The 16,985-nt window shown below is 37.4% G+C and overlaps 2 protein-coding genes across 24 annotated transcripts in view; one reads left to right on the plus strand and one right to left on the minus strand.

Moving 5' to 3' along the window:
* CC2D2A (coiled-coil and C2 domain containing 2A) overlaps positions 1-10,450 on the plus strand; it is a 131,693-nt gene extending 121,243 nt beyond the window's left edge. For 2 of the 3 annotated variants that reach the window (NM_001378615.1, NM_001378617.1), the window contains 4 exons: positions 4,978-5,100; positions 6,300-6,358; positions 8,422-8,599; positions 10,130-10,445. In NM_001378615.1, coding sequence (NP_001365544.1) covers positions 4,978-5,100; positions 6,300-6,358; positions 8,422-8,599; positions 10,130-10,318 — 549 coding nt within the window. In that variant the 3' untranslated portion in view covers positions 10,319-10,445. Of the gene's footprint in view, positions 1-4,977; positions 5,101-6,299; positions 6,359-8,421; positions 8,600-10,129 lie in introns of all 3 variants that reach the window. The other variant, NM_001080522.2, reaches the window with a different exon arrangement.
* FBXL5 (F-box and leucine rich repeat protein 5) overlaps positions 13,274-16,985 on the minus strand; it is a 77,189-nt gene continuing 73,477 nt past the window's right edge. For all 21 annotated transcript variants that reach the window (NR_036464.2, XM_047450056.1, XM_047450055.1 and 18 more), the window contains one exon: positions 13,274-14,692. Coding sequence is in view for 20 of the 21 variants with exons in the window: in XM_047450056.1 (XP_047306012.1) it covers positions 14,616-14,692 (77 nt within the window). In the remaining variant the exon portion in view is untranslated. The remainder of the gene's footprint in view (positions 14,693-16,985) is intronic.

Below are 16,985 nucleotides of genomic sequence, written 5' to 3' on the forward strand. Positions count from 1 at the left end.
AATTATATATATTTTCGTATCAATATACCAAAAACTACTTTAAACATGAAATCTATTTTTTTTCTTCCCATCCTCCTGGGGTATGGACCCTTCTCTGAAGACCATCAGTCTATTTTTTTTTTTTTTTTTGAGACGGACTTTCACTCTTGTTGCCCAGGCTGGAGTGCAACGGAGCGATCTCGGCTCAACGCAACCTCCGTCTCTCGGGTTCAAGCAATTCTCCTGCCTCAGCCTTCTGAGTAGCTGGGATTACAGGCATGCACCACCACACCCAGCTAATTTTGTATTTTTAGTAGAGACGGGGTTTCTCCATGTTGGTCAGGCTGGTCTTGAGCTCCCGACCTCAGGTGATCTGCCCGCCTCAGCCTCCCAAAGTGCTGGGATTACAGGCGTGAGCCACCGTGCCCAGCCCCATCAACCTATTTTTTTTAAGCATTACTGCTAAAATTAGAGATAATATATGCCAAGCACGCAGCAAAATATCTGTCCTTCATGTGTTCAGCAAATAGCAACTACAGCACTATTAATTACATATGTAAAGAGCACTGTGGAACACCATTCTCATGTTAATTATTATTTTTAATAAAAGTCATTATAATGAAAAGTGATCTGCTAAGCCTCATCTACATTTAGAGGATCATTTTAAGGTCATTAGTAATCAAGCAGGGTTAACAGGCACTGAAAAAGCCTTCAAATAACTCTGTTATCTGTCAAAATTATTACCAGCTCTCAAAACAATTACTATATGGTTGACTAATTCTCATAATGCCAAGGTTTTGTGAGGAAGAAAGAACATTCTTTTCTCCTCTTCTCTGAGATGGGTAATAGTAGCTTATGATGTTGTGCATCCCCCATTGTAGCTCTTCTAAACCTGCTCTAAGCCTTGGCCACTCAGCAGAGGACCTCCTCCTGGCTTTGTTGTCCTGGCACTCTGAAACCTCAACTGCCCTCTACTCCACCACACAACTTCTTTGGATGTCAGTCTTTTTCCTCCTGTCATTCCTTTTCCAAGGAATAAGTCTCTTCCCTTTCCACTGTGCTTGTTTCCATTCCCATTCCATGCTCCACTATTCCATCCAACTAGCTCCTCTATTTTTTCTCTCTCCTCCTCTATCTATTGATACGCTCAGGGGTCCAACAATTCTAAAATACCCTTTTCCCAACCTGGCTATACACCTAAAACTACATTGCCTTTCTTCCCTTTCCTCCCCAAGTTCTTCAAATACTAGTTATATCTCTTGCTTTCACTTTATAAGCACACTCAGACCTTAACCTACTGTAATCTAGCTCTTCCTTCCTGACCATACTGCAGAAATTAAACTCTGAGAAGCACCATTGTCTTGCTAATGAATAAATAAATCCAATGGCTGCTTCTCATTTTCACTCCTCTCCTTTTCTGTCATTTAACATAAAAATCACAACTAATGTTCTTCATGAAAAAACACTTTCCCCCTCCGTAGTTTACTGATAAAGGACAGTTTGCTCTTCATTACTCTGCAGTTGTTTCTTATGTTTCTTTCAATGGCTCTTCTTCCCACCCCTTAAAAATAGAAGTTCCTCAAGATTCTATATTTAGATTCTTCTAGGACCACACCTATTATTATTAATTGTGGCTCTATCTAGTTTATCCTGGTAGAGAAGTGATAAATCTGTAACCAGCCCCAGAACCTTTGTCTTGAATTTTCAGCTGTTTGCTAGACACCCAGGTGCCTTATCAAAATCTCACACAGCACATGCAAAACTCAAATCATTTTCCCCAAAACCAGCTCCCCTTCCTGGCTTCCTATTTCTATCAATATCACTTATCCTGATTCAAACCCTCGAATTATTCTTGATTTTCCCTCTCCCTTACTTCATTCTACTTCAATCCTAATTATAGAGGCCAAATCATACAGATGCTATCTCTGCTATTTCCCAGGTCATGCCATTATTGTTTTGCCCTACATTTCTATAAATAACTAACTAAATAGTATCCCCAATTAAGTTCACTTTTTGATACACGGATACCTGATTAAGCTTTCATCACTTTCTGGCTCAGAAAGTACGAGGGGAACTTCACTGCATACAGATTTAAGAGTAAACTTTCCACCTTGGATCTCAAAGCCCTATGTATGCAGTGCAATTTCCCACTACTTTTCTGAACATTCCCTACTCTATAGCCAAATTGTAGTTCTTAAAGATCTTGTCTTGAGCCAATTTTCTGATTTGGATTCCAAGTCAAGGCCTCCTACCTTACTGGCTTCTACTTCTCTATATCCTTTGCTACTTTTTCTGTATTCTCCAAATTTGAAACATTAGAGATCCTCAAAGTTCATCAAACCTCTTTTCTACCTATAATTCCTCCCAGGGAATACCACATATATGCCGATGATTCCCAAGTTTATATCTCCAGCTCACCTAGCTCCCCAGAACTTCAGACTCAAATATCCAATCACCGACTCAACATCCTCATTTGGATGTGAGAGAGACATCTCAAACTTAAGATGCCCAAACTCCTGATTCCCCTTTGCAGTCTTTCCCATCTCAATAAATGTCAATTTCATCAGTCGGTTTTTTGGCCAAAATCCTTGGAGTCATCTGTGATTCCTCTCTCTCCTATATCCAAACCAAATCCTACTGGTTCCACCTTCACAGTATACCCAGCGTCCAACCACATCTCTCCACTTTTACTGCTAGCATGTTCGTTCAAGTCACTGTAGCTCTCACCCAGATTATTCAAAACAAGTGTCCTAACTGAAGGTTTCACCATTTAACCCTACCTTCTTTTGTCTAGTCTCAAAACAGCACAGAAAATTCCTGTTAAAAGGCAAATTGTCACTCCTCTACCCAAATACTCCAGTGACTTCCTATCTCACTTAAGAGTCAAAGCCTAAATCTTCATAATGGCCTACGGGACCTCCATGATCTGATACCCACCCTACCCACCTCTCTCCCCCTTCCTCTGATAATGTCACCTCTTACTTGCTCTCTCCAGCTTGCTCACTCTTTAAAACTACTTCATATTCCTTGCTGTTCCTCAAACATAACAAAGCACACTTTACATTTGTTGTTTCCTAGGCATAAATGACCACTGCCCCCTTACTGGATATCATCATAGATTTCTCCCTCACTTCTTGCATTTCTGATGAAAAGTGATTTTTCCAGTTAGAACTTCCCTGCCTGCCTTAAAATGCTCCATTTTTGTTTTCTCCACAGCCCTTGCACAATTAACTACTGCCACAATAAAGACAGTAAAAACCCACCCCCAAACTAAATGGCTTCAAACATTTATTCTCAGGGATCTGAGTCAGCTGGGGAGGTTCTGCTAATTGAGGCTGGGCAACTCTGCTGCAAGTTGTGGTAGCAAGACAAGCTCTGCTTCTCACAGTAGATCTGTGGGTCAACTGGGAGAGCTCAGCTTCAGGTGTGTTTATTCTGGGATGCAGTGCAATGACAATGGCAGAGGTACAAAAGGACAAGCAGAAGCACACAAAGCCTCTTAAGGGTAGGCTCAGAAGCCATACACTGACTTCTGTCCCAGTCTACTGGCCAAAAGTCAAGGAGTGCAAAAGTGTATTTTTTCTCTTTTAGTGGGAGGAACTGCAAAGTAACACGAGAAAGGGTATGCATATAGAAAGGAGTGCAGAATTGGGGCTAATGATACAATTTACCACATCATGCAACATCATCTGTTATCCCATGTGTCTACTTGGTTTTTGTTGTTGTTGTTGCTTTAAACAGGAACTTGCTGTCATCCAGGCTGGAGTGCAGTGGTGTGACCACAGTTCACTGGAGCCTTGAAATACTGGGCTGAAGCAGTCCTCCCACCTCAGCCTCTCAAGCATCTAGGACTATAGGAACACACCACCACGCCTGGCTACTTCTCAAAAAAAAAAAAATTTTTTTTTAAGAGATGGGGGGTCTCACTATGCTGTCCAGACTGGTCTTGAACCCCTGGCCTCAAGTGATCCTCCCGCTTTGGCCTCCCAAACTGCTGGGATTATGAGTGTGAGCCTGCCTGTTTACTTATTTGTTTGCTATCTTTTCTTATTAGATACTCTGTAAGGGTAGAAAATCTGTTTCATTCACTGCTTTATCCCCAGTAATTAGAACTGAGCCTCAACATAGTAGGTAGCTGATTAAATATACTGAATGGACAAATTCATGTATATAGTTACTCAGTATGACTACTGTATGCCAGGAGCTATGCTAGGTGCTAAAGATACAATGGTAAATAAGGCACATAGTGAATGTCCTCAGGACAAAAGTCTAACAGCCTAATGTGGACACGAATAGACAGGCAATTATAAACAATGCTAACTAATAATAATTTTAAAATAGCTAACAATTATTGAGCACTTACTACATACCAGGCATTTTTCTAAGAGGTACAGATTAATTAACTCACTGAATCAACTCAACCTTGAGGTAGATACTATTTATTATCCCACTGTTAAACAGAAGGAAACCGAGGCATACAGAAGTTACATTAATCATCCAAGGTCACACAAATAGTAAATGTTGGAGCCAAAATTAAAACACAAGTGGTCTGGTTCCAGAACCAACATGCTACGCTGCCTCACCAACACAAGGGCTATCTCAGAGAATGCGCATTGCTGTGGATGCAGAGATGAATGGACACTCAATTCAATTAGGAGGCTGGGAAGAGAAAGGTCAGGAAAGACTAGCCTAAGAAAGAAGTGGCCTTGGTTTTTATAACAAAAAACAACCTCACTTTTTATCAAATCTACAGTCAACACTAAGGTACACCCCCAACTTCAGATAAAAAATGTGAAAAAATGGCCAATGACAACTCTATGATGCCACTGATTGTAAAATACACACAATTTTTATAATCAAAAAATGACAAAATGTATGCGGCCTATATGAACACTTGCTGTCTCTCTGCTGCCTCTATGCCACACATACATCCATGCACACATACATGTGCATGTATACATGCTAACATATATGCTAATGTAGTCTTGTCTTTCTTAGATTTGGTTTAATATTCAACGATATGAATCTCCACTAAGGATAAATTTTGATGTCACCAGGCCCAAGCTATGGAAATCTTTCTTTTCAAGAAGCCTTCCATATCCTGGCCTTTCCAGTGTTCAGGTATAAATCTTTTATTAACAGTTAAATGTAGACAAAGTAAAAGATAGGAAATTATACTGGGTTACAAGATATTTTTTACCCCTGGGTAGTCTAGAACAGTATTTGTTTATCAAACGCATCTGAGCTCAACTCACAACAAGAAACAGATATATACGTTTACATATATGTGAAAGGACCAGTATACACATCTTACACACATGTGGAAGAAAAAGTTTTGATATAAAGTTTCATGACATAAAAAGTACCACAAAATGTATTCCATCTAAATTTTTTAAATGCTCATCTCAATTCACTAAATAGATTTCATAACTTTTAATGAAACATCAAGTTAAATTGCAGGGTATGATCCACTAGGGGCTCATAAAATTAACTTACAGGGTCCTGACCAGTAGTAGATTGTAAGTAGTAAGCATAAGCAGTTTACTAAAAGTTTTGTTTCATTTGATAGATATATGTATGTGTGTACTAGGTTTGTAATGAAATGTATTTTATACTCCGGATCTACCTTTCAGAAAAAGCTTTGAAGAACATTACCCTAGAGAAATTCTCCCATATGTGTATAAGGTGATATATACAAGATTTTTAGTAGGAGCATTGCTTGAAATAGCATAAGAGTTGGAATGACAGAAGAGAAAAATTATGTAACACGATGGAATATTTTACAGTAGTTAATCAGCATTAATGAATCTTAGTAAGCCCTCTAAAAATATGTTTGTTGCTGCCACTAAATATAAAGTTAAGGGAGAAAGCACAAGTTGCATGTTCATAAAACAATTACGTAAAGTTTAGAAAACATGTGAAACAATAAAATGTTGTTTAGGGGTACATGTATCTGTAATAAAATCATAAACACATTGTGTTAATGAAGACAGGAATTTTTTTTCATAGCCAAATCCCTATCCCTCTCACCTATGAAAGTGCCTAGCACACAGCAGGCAATCAGTACTTGTTGAATGAAGGGGTGTTAAAACAAATTCAGGTCATGGTTACTTCTGTGGTAAGAGAGAAGAAAAATGAAATTGGGAAAGAACTATATTATGATGTTTTACTTTTGGTGGGTCATGGGTACATCAGCATGCATTATATTATTTTCTATATCTCGATGTCTGAGATTTCATTGATTTTTAAGATTTTTAAAAGGATGTTCAAATTAACTGTAGGTGATTTTTATACTTTCTGAACTATTTTCTCTTCTATAGCCTGAAGAGCTAATTTACCAGCGCTCAGACAAAGCAGCTGCAGCTGAGCTACAAGACAGGTAACATAACATCCATAAATCCACATGTAATCTGTCACTAGGAGTATAATACCAAACTTTAAACCACTGTCAGCCTGGATGAATGTGAAACAATTTAGGCAACTTAACTTTAATTCATGTTTATAGATTCCAAATACAGATGTGATCTCTAAATCCCATGGCTCAAAAGGAGCCTTTAGCATCAGCATGCTGTGGAACCAACCAGAGTGGAACACCAGTAATACGTACTTCTACAGGGACTTCACCTTGGATTGGAGTTTAACATCATGTTATAGGTGTTGTTGAGGCACATCATAAATCTCAGCTTAAATATACCTCTTCTGTCCTATTGAACTGCAGCTAGTTTATGGACCTAACACATGGAGAAGATCAGTAAGAGCCTGTATGAGTCTCTGTAATTCTCATAACCCTGTAAAAATAGAACTTATTCTCCTGGTTTCACAATGTGAAAACTGAGGCTCAGAGAGGTCCACATACTTGTTTAAGTGTTAAAGGGGGCTTCTGAGCCCAGCCCAACCTTTCTGATTTCAAGACATGTGTACTATTTCTACTGTATTAAGCTGTGTGACCCCTCTTGAGGCATTATTACTAGAAAATATCGGTTTACACTCATTTACTCTCAATTTCTCCATAATGCCTTATTCAAGATCCCCAACTAGAACAACTAATCTCCAAACAACCTTTTTGTTTTTTTCTGATAGCTTCAACATGCTATCGATTGGACCCAAGTCATTTATTTCTCCAATATTAAAATGCCTGACAATTCGTCCATACTTTCGTGCGCAGACCATCTTGAAATCCAAAACAAAGATGTGCTAAGCACCAAAAAAGAAATGATCCCTATGACTACTGAACAATGAGAAGCTAGCTAGGTCTCTAAACCCATGCATTTAGTTAGGCAATGTACAAGAGGCTTTAGAATCAGCAGGGTTTCAATTTGAATCCAAGCTCCTTTGCCTTAGTCAAATCACTTATCCTACCTCAAACTGTCCCCTCATCTGTAAAATCAGGACAATATCCCCTACCTCGTAAGGTTATTATTGAGATTAAATAAACATCTACAAAAAGCACTTAGCGCAGTATCTGGTAAATAATGGCCCAATAAATAGTAGCTATCTTCCTTCATTCCATGCTTAAACTTCACACCCTATGAACCCAATACCTGTACTTATCACAAACAGTTTCAATGATGTTGGTATTTTAAAGGCAGTTTTAAGGCAATTTAGAAAAAAATTAATCATCATGGATAGAATTCACTATTCATGATGTGAATAAATCACGAGGCACTAAGAGCTCCACAAATATTTGAGGCTTTCAACATAAGCCCTACTTCTTACGCCTGTGTCTAATTCATCTGTCTGTATATATACTACCAATGAGTATAGTCATAACATTTCAAAAAAACATTTCATGGCCAAGCGCAGTGACTCACACTTGTAATCTCAACACTTTGGGAGGCCAAGGCAGGCGGATCACTTGAGCCCAAGAATTTGAGACCAGCCTGGGCAACATAGCAAGACCTTGTCTCTATAAAAAAGAAAAAAAAATTAGCCAGACATAATGGCATGCACCTGTGGTCCCAGCTACCAAAGAGGCTGAGGTGGGAGGTTCACTTGAGCCCGAGAGTTGAGGATGCAGTGAGCTGTGATTGTACCACTTCAATCCAGCCTGGGCAACAGAGCAAGATCCTGCCTTTAAAAAAAATTAGTAATAATAAACTTTTGCTGCATGTATTGAATTCAGCTATCCCCAAGTCATTCAGTACTCCCTCTTCTGTGTTACATTTCAAGCATCTGTTATAGCTCTTAGGATACACATACTTTCTATTTATAGGACTATTTCCCATCTCAACTCATATACAACCCTTAAGGACAGGACTGCATGTTAATTTTGAATCCCCAGGGAGTAGCCCATTATTAGACATTAACTATGCCTGGATAATCACAACTCCATCAACAAAAATATAGTTATACAATCATCTGAATCCCCACTACATACTACATACATTTTTTAACAAGGGAAAAGTGAGTCACCAAAAAATGGAATTTATGTTTTGTGAACAGGATTGAAAAAATACTAAAAGAAAAAATCATGGACTGGAGGCCACGCCATCTGACTCGGTGGAATAGGTATTGTACCTCTACTCTGCGTCACTTCTTGCCTCTGTTAGAAAAAAGTCAAGGAGAAGATGTAGAAGATGACCACAGAGCAGAACTGCTAAAACAGCTGGGAGACTACAGGGTAAGTTACAAATGGATCCTAAACTGACTGTGGATTTCCTTGTTTCAAATTGGAAATTAGCCAATAATAGGTTTCTGGAATCAAAAGACCCACGTTGCTCCCAGAAGTACATATTTAAAGCAGCATAAACTAAAAACTGTGATCATAAGTTTTAAACCTCAATAATCATGAAATAGCAAAATACCACCATTTTTCATATAAGTATCCCATGAAAAATACCTTTTATGAAATACATTTACGTATCAAAAAAATGAAAACATCTGGCTAAATCATGTTAGACACAACTGTGCATAAGGATCAAAACACTCTAGAGCAGTTTTTTTAAGGATATGGTTTTATACTGATTGCTTTTCATTGCTAAGAAAGGTGGTTATTAATAGACGATATACCCTCTTTACTGCCTGCTGCTATGTTCACATGCTATAGCTGGATAATAAAACCTACAAAGCAGGCTCGTAACTAAAACTTAACAGTAAGCCTTACTAGCTAAACAGTGTGAAGGTCAAATTAGATCACTCACTGAGTAAAATTTATCCTTTAACTTATAAGGCAGGTTCTCAGCCAGGATATTTTCAGTTCAAGTGTCAGAAAACTCAAAAAGGCTTGAGCAATAGAGAATCTACTGGCTTAAGTAAAGCTTAGAGGGTAGCTATCAGGGCTGTCCCACTCTTTTGCAAGTCCTCCCATTCTGCCCTCCTCTTCCGTATGATGGCATCATCCTGAGACTGGGTTTCCTCATGGAAGCAAATGCTGGAACACTTACAGAATTCACATCTGCGCACATACTACCCAAAGCAGGAGAACATCACGTGCCATTATTCCTAACAAGTTTCCCAAGATTCCCTCTGAGACTCCCTTTGATCACTTGCCCATCCCCGTGGATCAATCATTGTAGCCAAGGGGACGAAAATTATTGTCGGGCGCTATGGCTCACACCTGTAACCCCAGCACTTTGGGAGGCTGAGGCAGCGGATCGCTTGAGCCCTGGAGTTCAAGATCAGCCTTGGCAGCATGGCAAAACTCCATCTCTACAAAAAATACAAAAAGTAGCCAGGATGGTGGCACTTGCCTGCAGTCCCAGCTACTCAGGAGGCTAAAGTGGGGGGACCATTTGAGCCCAGCAGGAGGCCGAGGCTGCAGTGGTGAGCCATGATCATGCCACTGCAGTCTAGCATGGACAACAGTCAGACCTGTCTCAAAAAAAAAAAAAAAAAAGAAAAAAGAAATGTATTTGTTAGTTTAACCTATGTATCTGGAATTACAATGGTTACGATGCATACTAGGTACTTTCAAAAAGAGGGAACAGTGATGGAGTGACTAACAGGTGGCTTATACACCTATATGCAAGGAAAACAAAATGGATATTAAGCAGCTCTCGATTTTCTGTATTGCTAATAAAAAGCTGAGTAGAAAAACACAAGCAAATAACTGAGATCCAGAACACTTATCTTAATTGCATACATTTACGTAGGAAAAAATGTATTAAATCTTCAAACTTCACTAATGACTACAAATGTTTTTTCCCTTCAGTTCTCTGGATTTCCTCTTCACATGCCTTATTCTGAAGTGAAGCCTTTAATTGACGCTGTGTATAGTACTGGAGTACATAATATTGATGTTCCTAATGTTGAATTTGCTTTAGCTGTATACATACACCCATACCCCAAAAATGTTTTGTCTGTTTGGATCTATGTTGCCTCTCTTATACGCAACAGGTAATTTTTTTCACTGTACTTTCTGTATCATGTAAAAACTACACTTAGGATATGAGAAAATTTTAAATTATATGCATCACATCAGAAGAACATATTATTGGCAAATAATAAAATTATCAACTGTTTTCAAACTGTGCAAAGTGTTCTATTTAGCAGTCTGCCTTGTGTCTGCTACTTGACCCTGAAATTCAATTGAGACTACCCACAGTACGATATATTATGAGCTTCCTGCCTCTATTCCTTTGTACTTACTTACCTTTTGCTTGGGCAAATATTAACAGCAATGGAATGAAAGTGAGAGAAACTTAACAAGTTTTACCTTAGAGCAAGGTAAAGCTTTAAAGAGAGCATCATTAGAGCCTTTAGAGTTCCTCCTCCTTTGCTGTGTTTAATTCAAATATTAGTTGAAATAAAAAGCAGTAGTGAGTTATATTCCATCAAATGATTCTTCATCTTTAGAAAACACTAAGACAATTTGCCTGAACTGAATGTTTACCAGTTTTTATTGCTACTCCTCCTCCTCTCTCCAAATAAACAAAACAAATAAATATCCAAGACTGCAAGATTACTTCATCTTCCACAGGTTTGCATGTACAGGCATACCTCGGAGATAGTGTGCACTTGGTTCCAGACCATTGCAATAAAGTGAATACTGCAATAAAATGAGTCACACCAATTTTTTTGGTTTCCCAGTGCAAAGTTATGTTTACACTGTATTATAGTGTATTAAGCGTGCAAAAGCATTATCTCAAAAATGTACATACCTTTAATTTAAAAATACTTTATTGTTCAAAAGTGCTAATGATCATCTGAGCCTGCAGTAAGTTGTAATTTTTTGCTGATGGAGGGTCTTGCCTCGATGTTGCTGGCTGATTAGCAACTGGTGGTTGCTGATGGTTGGGGTGGCTGTGAGAATTTCTTAAAATAAGACAACAATGAAGTTTGTTGCATTGACTGACTCTTCCTTTCATGAAAGATTTCTCTGTAGCATGAAATGCTGATAGCATCTTACCCACAGAATCTCTTTCAAAACTGGAATTAATCTTCTCAAACTCTGCCACTGCTTTATCAATTAAGTTTATGTAATATTCTAAATCCTTTGTTGTCATTTGACAAATGTTCACAGCATCTTCGCCAGGAGTAGAGTCCATCTCAATAAACTTTTTTGAGACAGGGTCTTGCTCTGTCGTCCAGGCGGAGTGCAGTGGTGTGATTATGGTTCACTGCAGCCTCAACCTCCTAGGCTCAAGCAATCCTCACACCTCAGTCTCTCAAGTAGCTGGGACTACAGGTACACGCCACCACACTCAGCTAATCTTTTATTTTTTGTAGAGACAGGGTCTCACTATGTTGTCTAGGCTGGTCTTGAGCTCCTGGACACAAGCAATCTTCCTGCCTCCGCCTCCCAAAGTGCCGGGATTACAAGAGTGAGCCACCGCGCCCGACCAAGAAACAAATATTCTTTGCTCATCCATAAGAAGCAACTCTATATCCATTCAAGTTTTATCATGAGGTTGCAGCAGTTCAGTCAGATCTTCAGGCTCTATTTCTAATTCTGGTTCTATTTTCACCACATCTGCAGTGACTTCCTCCACTAAAGTCTGGAACCCTACAAAGACATCCATTGAGAGTTGGAATCAACTTCATCCAATCTCTTGTTAATGCTGATATTCTGACCTCCTCCAATGAATCACGAATATTCTTAATGGCACCTGGAATGGTGAATCCTTCTAATTGAATCCTTTCCAGAATATTTTCAATTTACTTTGCCCTGATCCATCAGAGGAATCACTATCTATGGCAACTATAGCCATACAAAATGTATTTCTTAATAAGACTTGAAAGTCAGAATTATTCCTTGATCCATGGAGTAATTCTGCATGGAGCTGCAGAATAGATGTTAACAGGCATAAAAACATTAATCTCCTTGTACATCTCCACCAGAGCTCTTGGGTGACCAGGAGCCTTGTCAATAAGCAGTAACGTTTTGAAAGAAATTTTTTGAGCAGGTCTCAACAGTGGGCCTAAAATATTCAGCAAACCATGCTGTACACAGATATACTATCATACTGACTTTGTTGTTCCATTTACAGAGCACAGAGTAGACTTAGCAATAATTCTTAAGGGCCTTAGGTTTTTCAGAATGGCAAATGAGCATTCTCTTCAACATAGTCACTAGCTGCATCAATCTCTAACATTAAGAGTCCGCCTGCCCTTTTAAGCCAGGCATTGATTTCTCCTCTCTAGCTATTAAAGATTTAGATGGCATCTTCTTCCAATAGAAGGCTGTTTTGTCTACACACTGAAAATCTGATATTTAATGTAGCCACTTTCAAATCAATGACCTTAGCTAGATCTTCTGAATAACTTGCTGCAGCTTCTATATTAGCACTTGCTACCTCACCTTCTATTTTTATGTTATAGAGAAGGTTTCTTTCCTTAAACCTCATGAATCAACCCCTGCTAGCTTCAACCTTTTCTGAAGCTTCCTCACTTCTCTCAGCCTTCATGTAATTGAAGAGAGTTAGGGTCTTACTCTGAATTAGGCTTTGGCTTAAGGGAATTTTATGGCTAGTTTCATTTATCCAGACCACTAAAACTTTCTCCATATCAGTAATAAAGCTGTTTCACTTTCTTATCATTGGGTGTTCACTGGAGTAGCACTTTTAATTTCCTTCAAGAACTTTCCTGTTGCATTCACAACTTTGCTGTATGGCACAAGAAGCGTAGATTTGGGCCTAAGTTTTCGACATGCCTTGCTCACTAAGCCTAATCATTTCTAGCTTTTCACTTAAAGTGAGAGACATGACTCTTCCTTTCACTTCAACACTTAAAGTCCACTGCAAGGTTATAAGCTGGGGCCTAATTTCAATATTGTTGTGTCTCTAGGAAGAGGGAGGTCTGAGGAGGAGAGAGACAGGAACCACTGGTCAGTGGAGCAATCAGAACATACATAATATTTATCAATTAAGTTCTCTGTCTTATTAGGGCACAGTTCATGGCATTCCAAAGCAATTACAATAGTAACAACAATCACTGGCCACAGATCACCACAACAGATTTAATAATAGTGAAAAACTATGAAATACTCCAAGAATTATCACAATATACGAGACATGAAAGGAGAAGTTTTATTGGAAACATGGCACCAATAGACTGGCTCAACGCAGAGTTGCCATAAACCTTCCATTTGTAAAAAATGCATTATTTGCAAAGTGCAATAAAGCAAAACGCAATAAGATGACATATGCCTGTATCTGTATCAATAGGAGGAACATTGCCATTTTCTTCTACATGACATAAAATTGTACTAAAAGGCACTAGTATGTGCCTTTCTGGGTGGCAGGCCTCCACTCTCATGATGTTTTAACAAAGCAAAGTAGATATACTTACGGATTCAAATTTTGACTACTGAATAACTCATTTCAAAAAGAAAATTCAGCTCAATAAAATTCAGTATCTGTCTAAAACTATTTGTCAGGGTAATAAGTTCATGGGAGGTCCAAAGACAAAGTATGTAGTCCTATTCTATACTAAAGTAAACCTGGATTGAGATTTATAATAAAAATCACAACACAACAGTATTACTTGGTAAAGTCCTCAAAGTAGATTTTATTTATACATTTCTTCAAATGATTGTGGTATTTTAAAAAATCTCTCCCAAATTTGATGACATAGGGACAGTGGTGAGAACAAAGTATCCCTAAAGGAAACAAATATCGATTGGTGCTTTCCTAGCTCACTGAGCTAACACTCAGAAGCCAATTTATTCTATAATCCTAAAGAACCTTAAATGTGGGTTTGTTTGAATTGGCCTTCTGAGAATCATTGAAATAAAGGAAATATTACGGAAAAGAGATTAGTTTCCAAAAATGTGCTGTCTTTGAAAATAAGTCTTCAGACATGTGTGTCGGAAAAGATCTGCAAAGCTTGGTACAGTGTTAATGTGTAAAGAGAACCAATCACCTCCATGGACTTTAAAACTCAAAATTATCTATGAAATACTTTAAATGACATGGCATTACCAACATTCTTTAAAGCATTTCATTTAAAAGAAAAATGTAAGACTGTTCTCACCCTTTTGAAAAGACCTAATCCCTTTCTAAACCAAAAGTATAATTTGCAAGAGAAACAACATTACAATTCACTGGTAAATTAAGATTTCTGAAGTTGTAAGAAATGGGGCCAAAACAAGTCACGCTCAAAAAGGGATGGTTAACACAAGAAATGTGCTATGAGTAAAGTGCATGAAAGAAAGCCTGCTCAGCTAAATGAAGTAGACAAAGATCAGAAGTCAAGGGTCATTCGCCAGAGCGGCAGCAGGCTCGAAAACCACACTGCAAATTCTGGCATCCACTGGCGGTATCAGCATGAGGACCTGTATGAAAACAGAAAAATGTGAAAGGAGGAATTTCTTAGAGATCACATAAAAATAATTTTGCTTATGAAGGAGTTAAACATTCATTGGTTTTACTAGCAGTACTTATATGATAGAAGTAAATCTCATGATAAGTGTATAAGAAATTATTCAGACACAAAACTCAATAGCAGCTTGACTTTAATTAATATATCCTTCATGGTCCAAAAGGTAAGTGGAAGAAGGGAAAAAAATAATTTTTAGCAACAACTTACAATATAAAAATCCAAAATGGAAATGAGACAATCCACAGAAGCAAGATTGCCAAGCTAACTTATAAAAAGATTCTTATAATCTGAACATCCTCCCTAGAAATGTAATAAAGGCAAAAAACAGCCCTAACTATAATCGATCAGCTAAAGAAGTCAGTATTGAGCAATTACAATAAATATTATCTTCAAATTTTAAAGCAAAATAAACTATATAGACAAAGATTTAATATATTTGCCATATTTTTATTTAGTATTTGTAGCCAAAAATATCTATATATGGTAGGGTTAGATGAAATTATTTTCCAAAATTAAATATATAATGAGTGATCAATTAAACTGTAGCCATAGTAAAAATTATCATTCACTTACAAAGAATAAAAAAAAATCTGTGGAATAACTGACATTTTATCCCAGTCACACTATGCTACCCAGGCACTAGATACAAGACCCATTAGGGAACATAGCTGAGAATTAGAAAATATCAAAGAAGAAGTTTCACAGCACATATTCAAATGTCAAGTACTCTGAATGAATGATATTTTCATAAAAGCAGGCAAATGTGGAAAAGATTGTTTCAACTATATTGAAGTCTTTCATTATGTCTATACCATGAACAAATAAGGAGTAGTTAATTTGTTCTTTACATATCAACAAGAACAACCAAAATACTTGCAATTGTGATATAAGGAACAATACAAAATGAAAACTGTACATGAAATATAATTTTACTGCAGAATATATCAAATGGATTGTAACTGAAAAATCACAGTACTCTGGGGTGATATCTAGCTTAACTCAAAAACACATTTTAAATTTACTTTTTATTTTCTAAAACAGCACTCGGCTGCAACAACAACAACAAAAAAGCAAGTAAGCTAATACTACCATAACAATTACTTCCAACTAAACACATAGAACACATTAATTTCCAGAAATTTAACTTTTCCTTATATTCCCCAAATGGCACATACAAAATACAAAGGGCAAATTTCTTAAGACATACAGTCTTAGGAAAGAAACTAATAAACATTACGCAAATATGTGGAACTACAACAGCTTATGCTTTCAGTCATATTAATTTTTAAGTTGATATGACACCTGTGATTAGCTTAATGGCGGAGTAGATATGGGAATGAGCAATGGTATAGATGAAAGGAGACTGCCCACAGGTTTATAACTGCTGAAGCTGATGGTACATGAGGATTCGTTGTATTATTCGATGTTAAATTTTTCCATAACAGGAAGTTTAAAATTATTTTAAATATAAAGTTGAATTACTAAAGCCAATTTTTATTTAATCAAAATAACAATCTTTTCTGGTCTTTAAATGAGAAGTTAAATATGTTAAATATTTAAAATTCACAAAGCAGCATTTTGTTAAAATTATTTTCCCTTAAAATAAGAAACAATGTTAATCATCTTAATCACAAACTCAAGATAAAATGTTTTAGTATATATTGAATACTTATTAAAAATGCCCTGAGAAGCAACCCTATGATCTGAAATTCTTCTCCCACTGCCAATCTTTAACCAAGTTTTTCCTTTGAATATAATGCCAGCTTTACCCACTGTGCACCACCCAATCCCCATTATTCCCCTTCTTAGCTTGTCTTTCCTCACCCCTTACACTGCCCACTGTTTTGTCTACCAATCACCTAGTGCCTCTCCTCAAGACACAAGCCCTGCCTCACTGCCATTCTCCTGCTCTGACCCTTAGGTCCATCATGAAATGCCAGATTCACTGGGTTTTGCCAAAATGGATCTGATTATCATTTTATCAGATTAAAATTCCATTCTAAATTTTTTTAAAGAAATAAGAAGAGACATGAAGACTCTATACAATTTTTCCAAACTGCAACTCCCTCAAATATTTCAAAATGTCTATACCATTAAGTCCTCACTTAACATCGATAGGTTCTTAGAAACTGCGACTCTAAGCAAAATAACGTATAACAAAGGTAGTTGTTTTGTTTGCATCATTATAATGAAATGACACTATTTGAGGACTTCCTGTATGTTTTCTTTAAAGTCAGTTTCCAAAA

Source organism: Homo sapiens, chromosome 4, assembly GCF_000001405.40.
Source record: "Homo sapiens chromosome 4, GRCh38.p14 Primary Assembly".
NCBI lineage: Eukaryota > Metazoa > Chordata > Mammalia > Primates > Hominidae > Homo > Homo sapiens.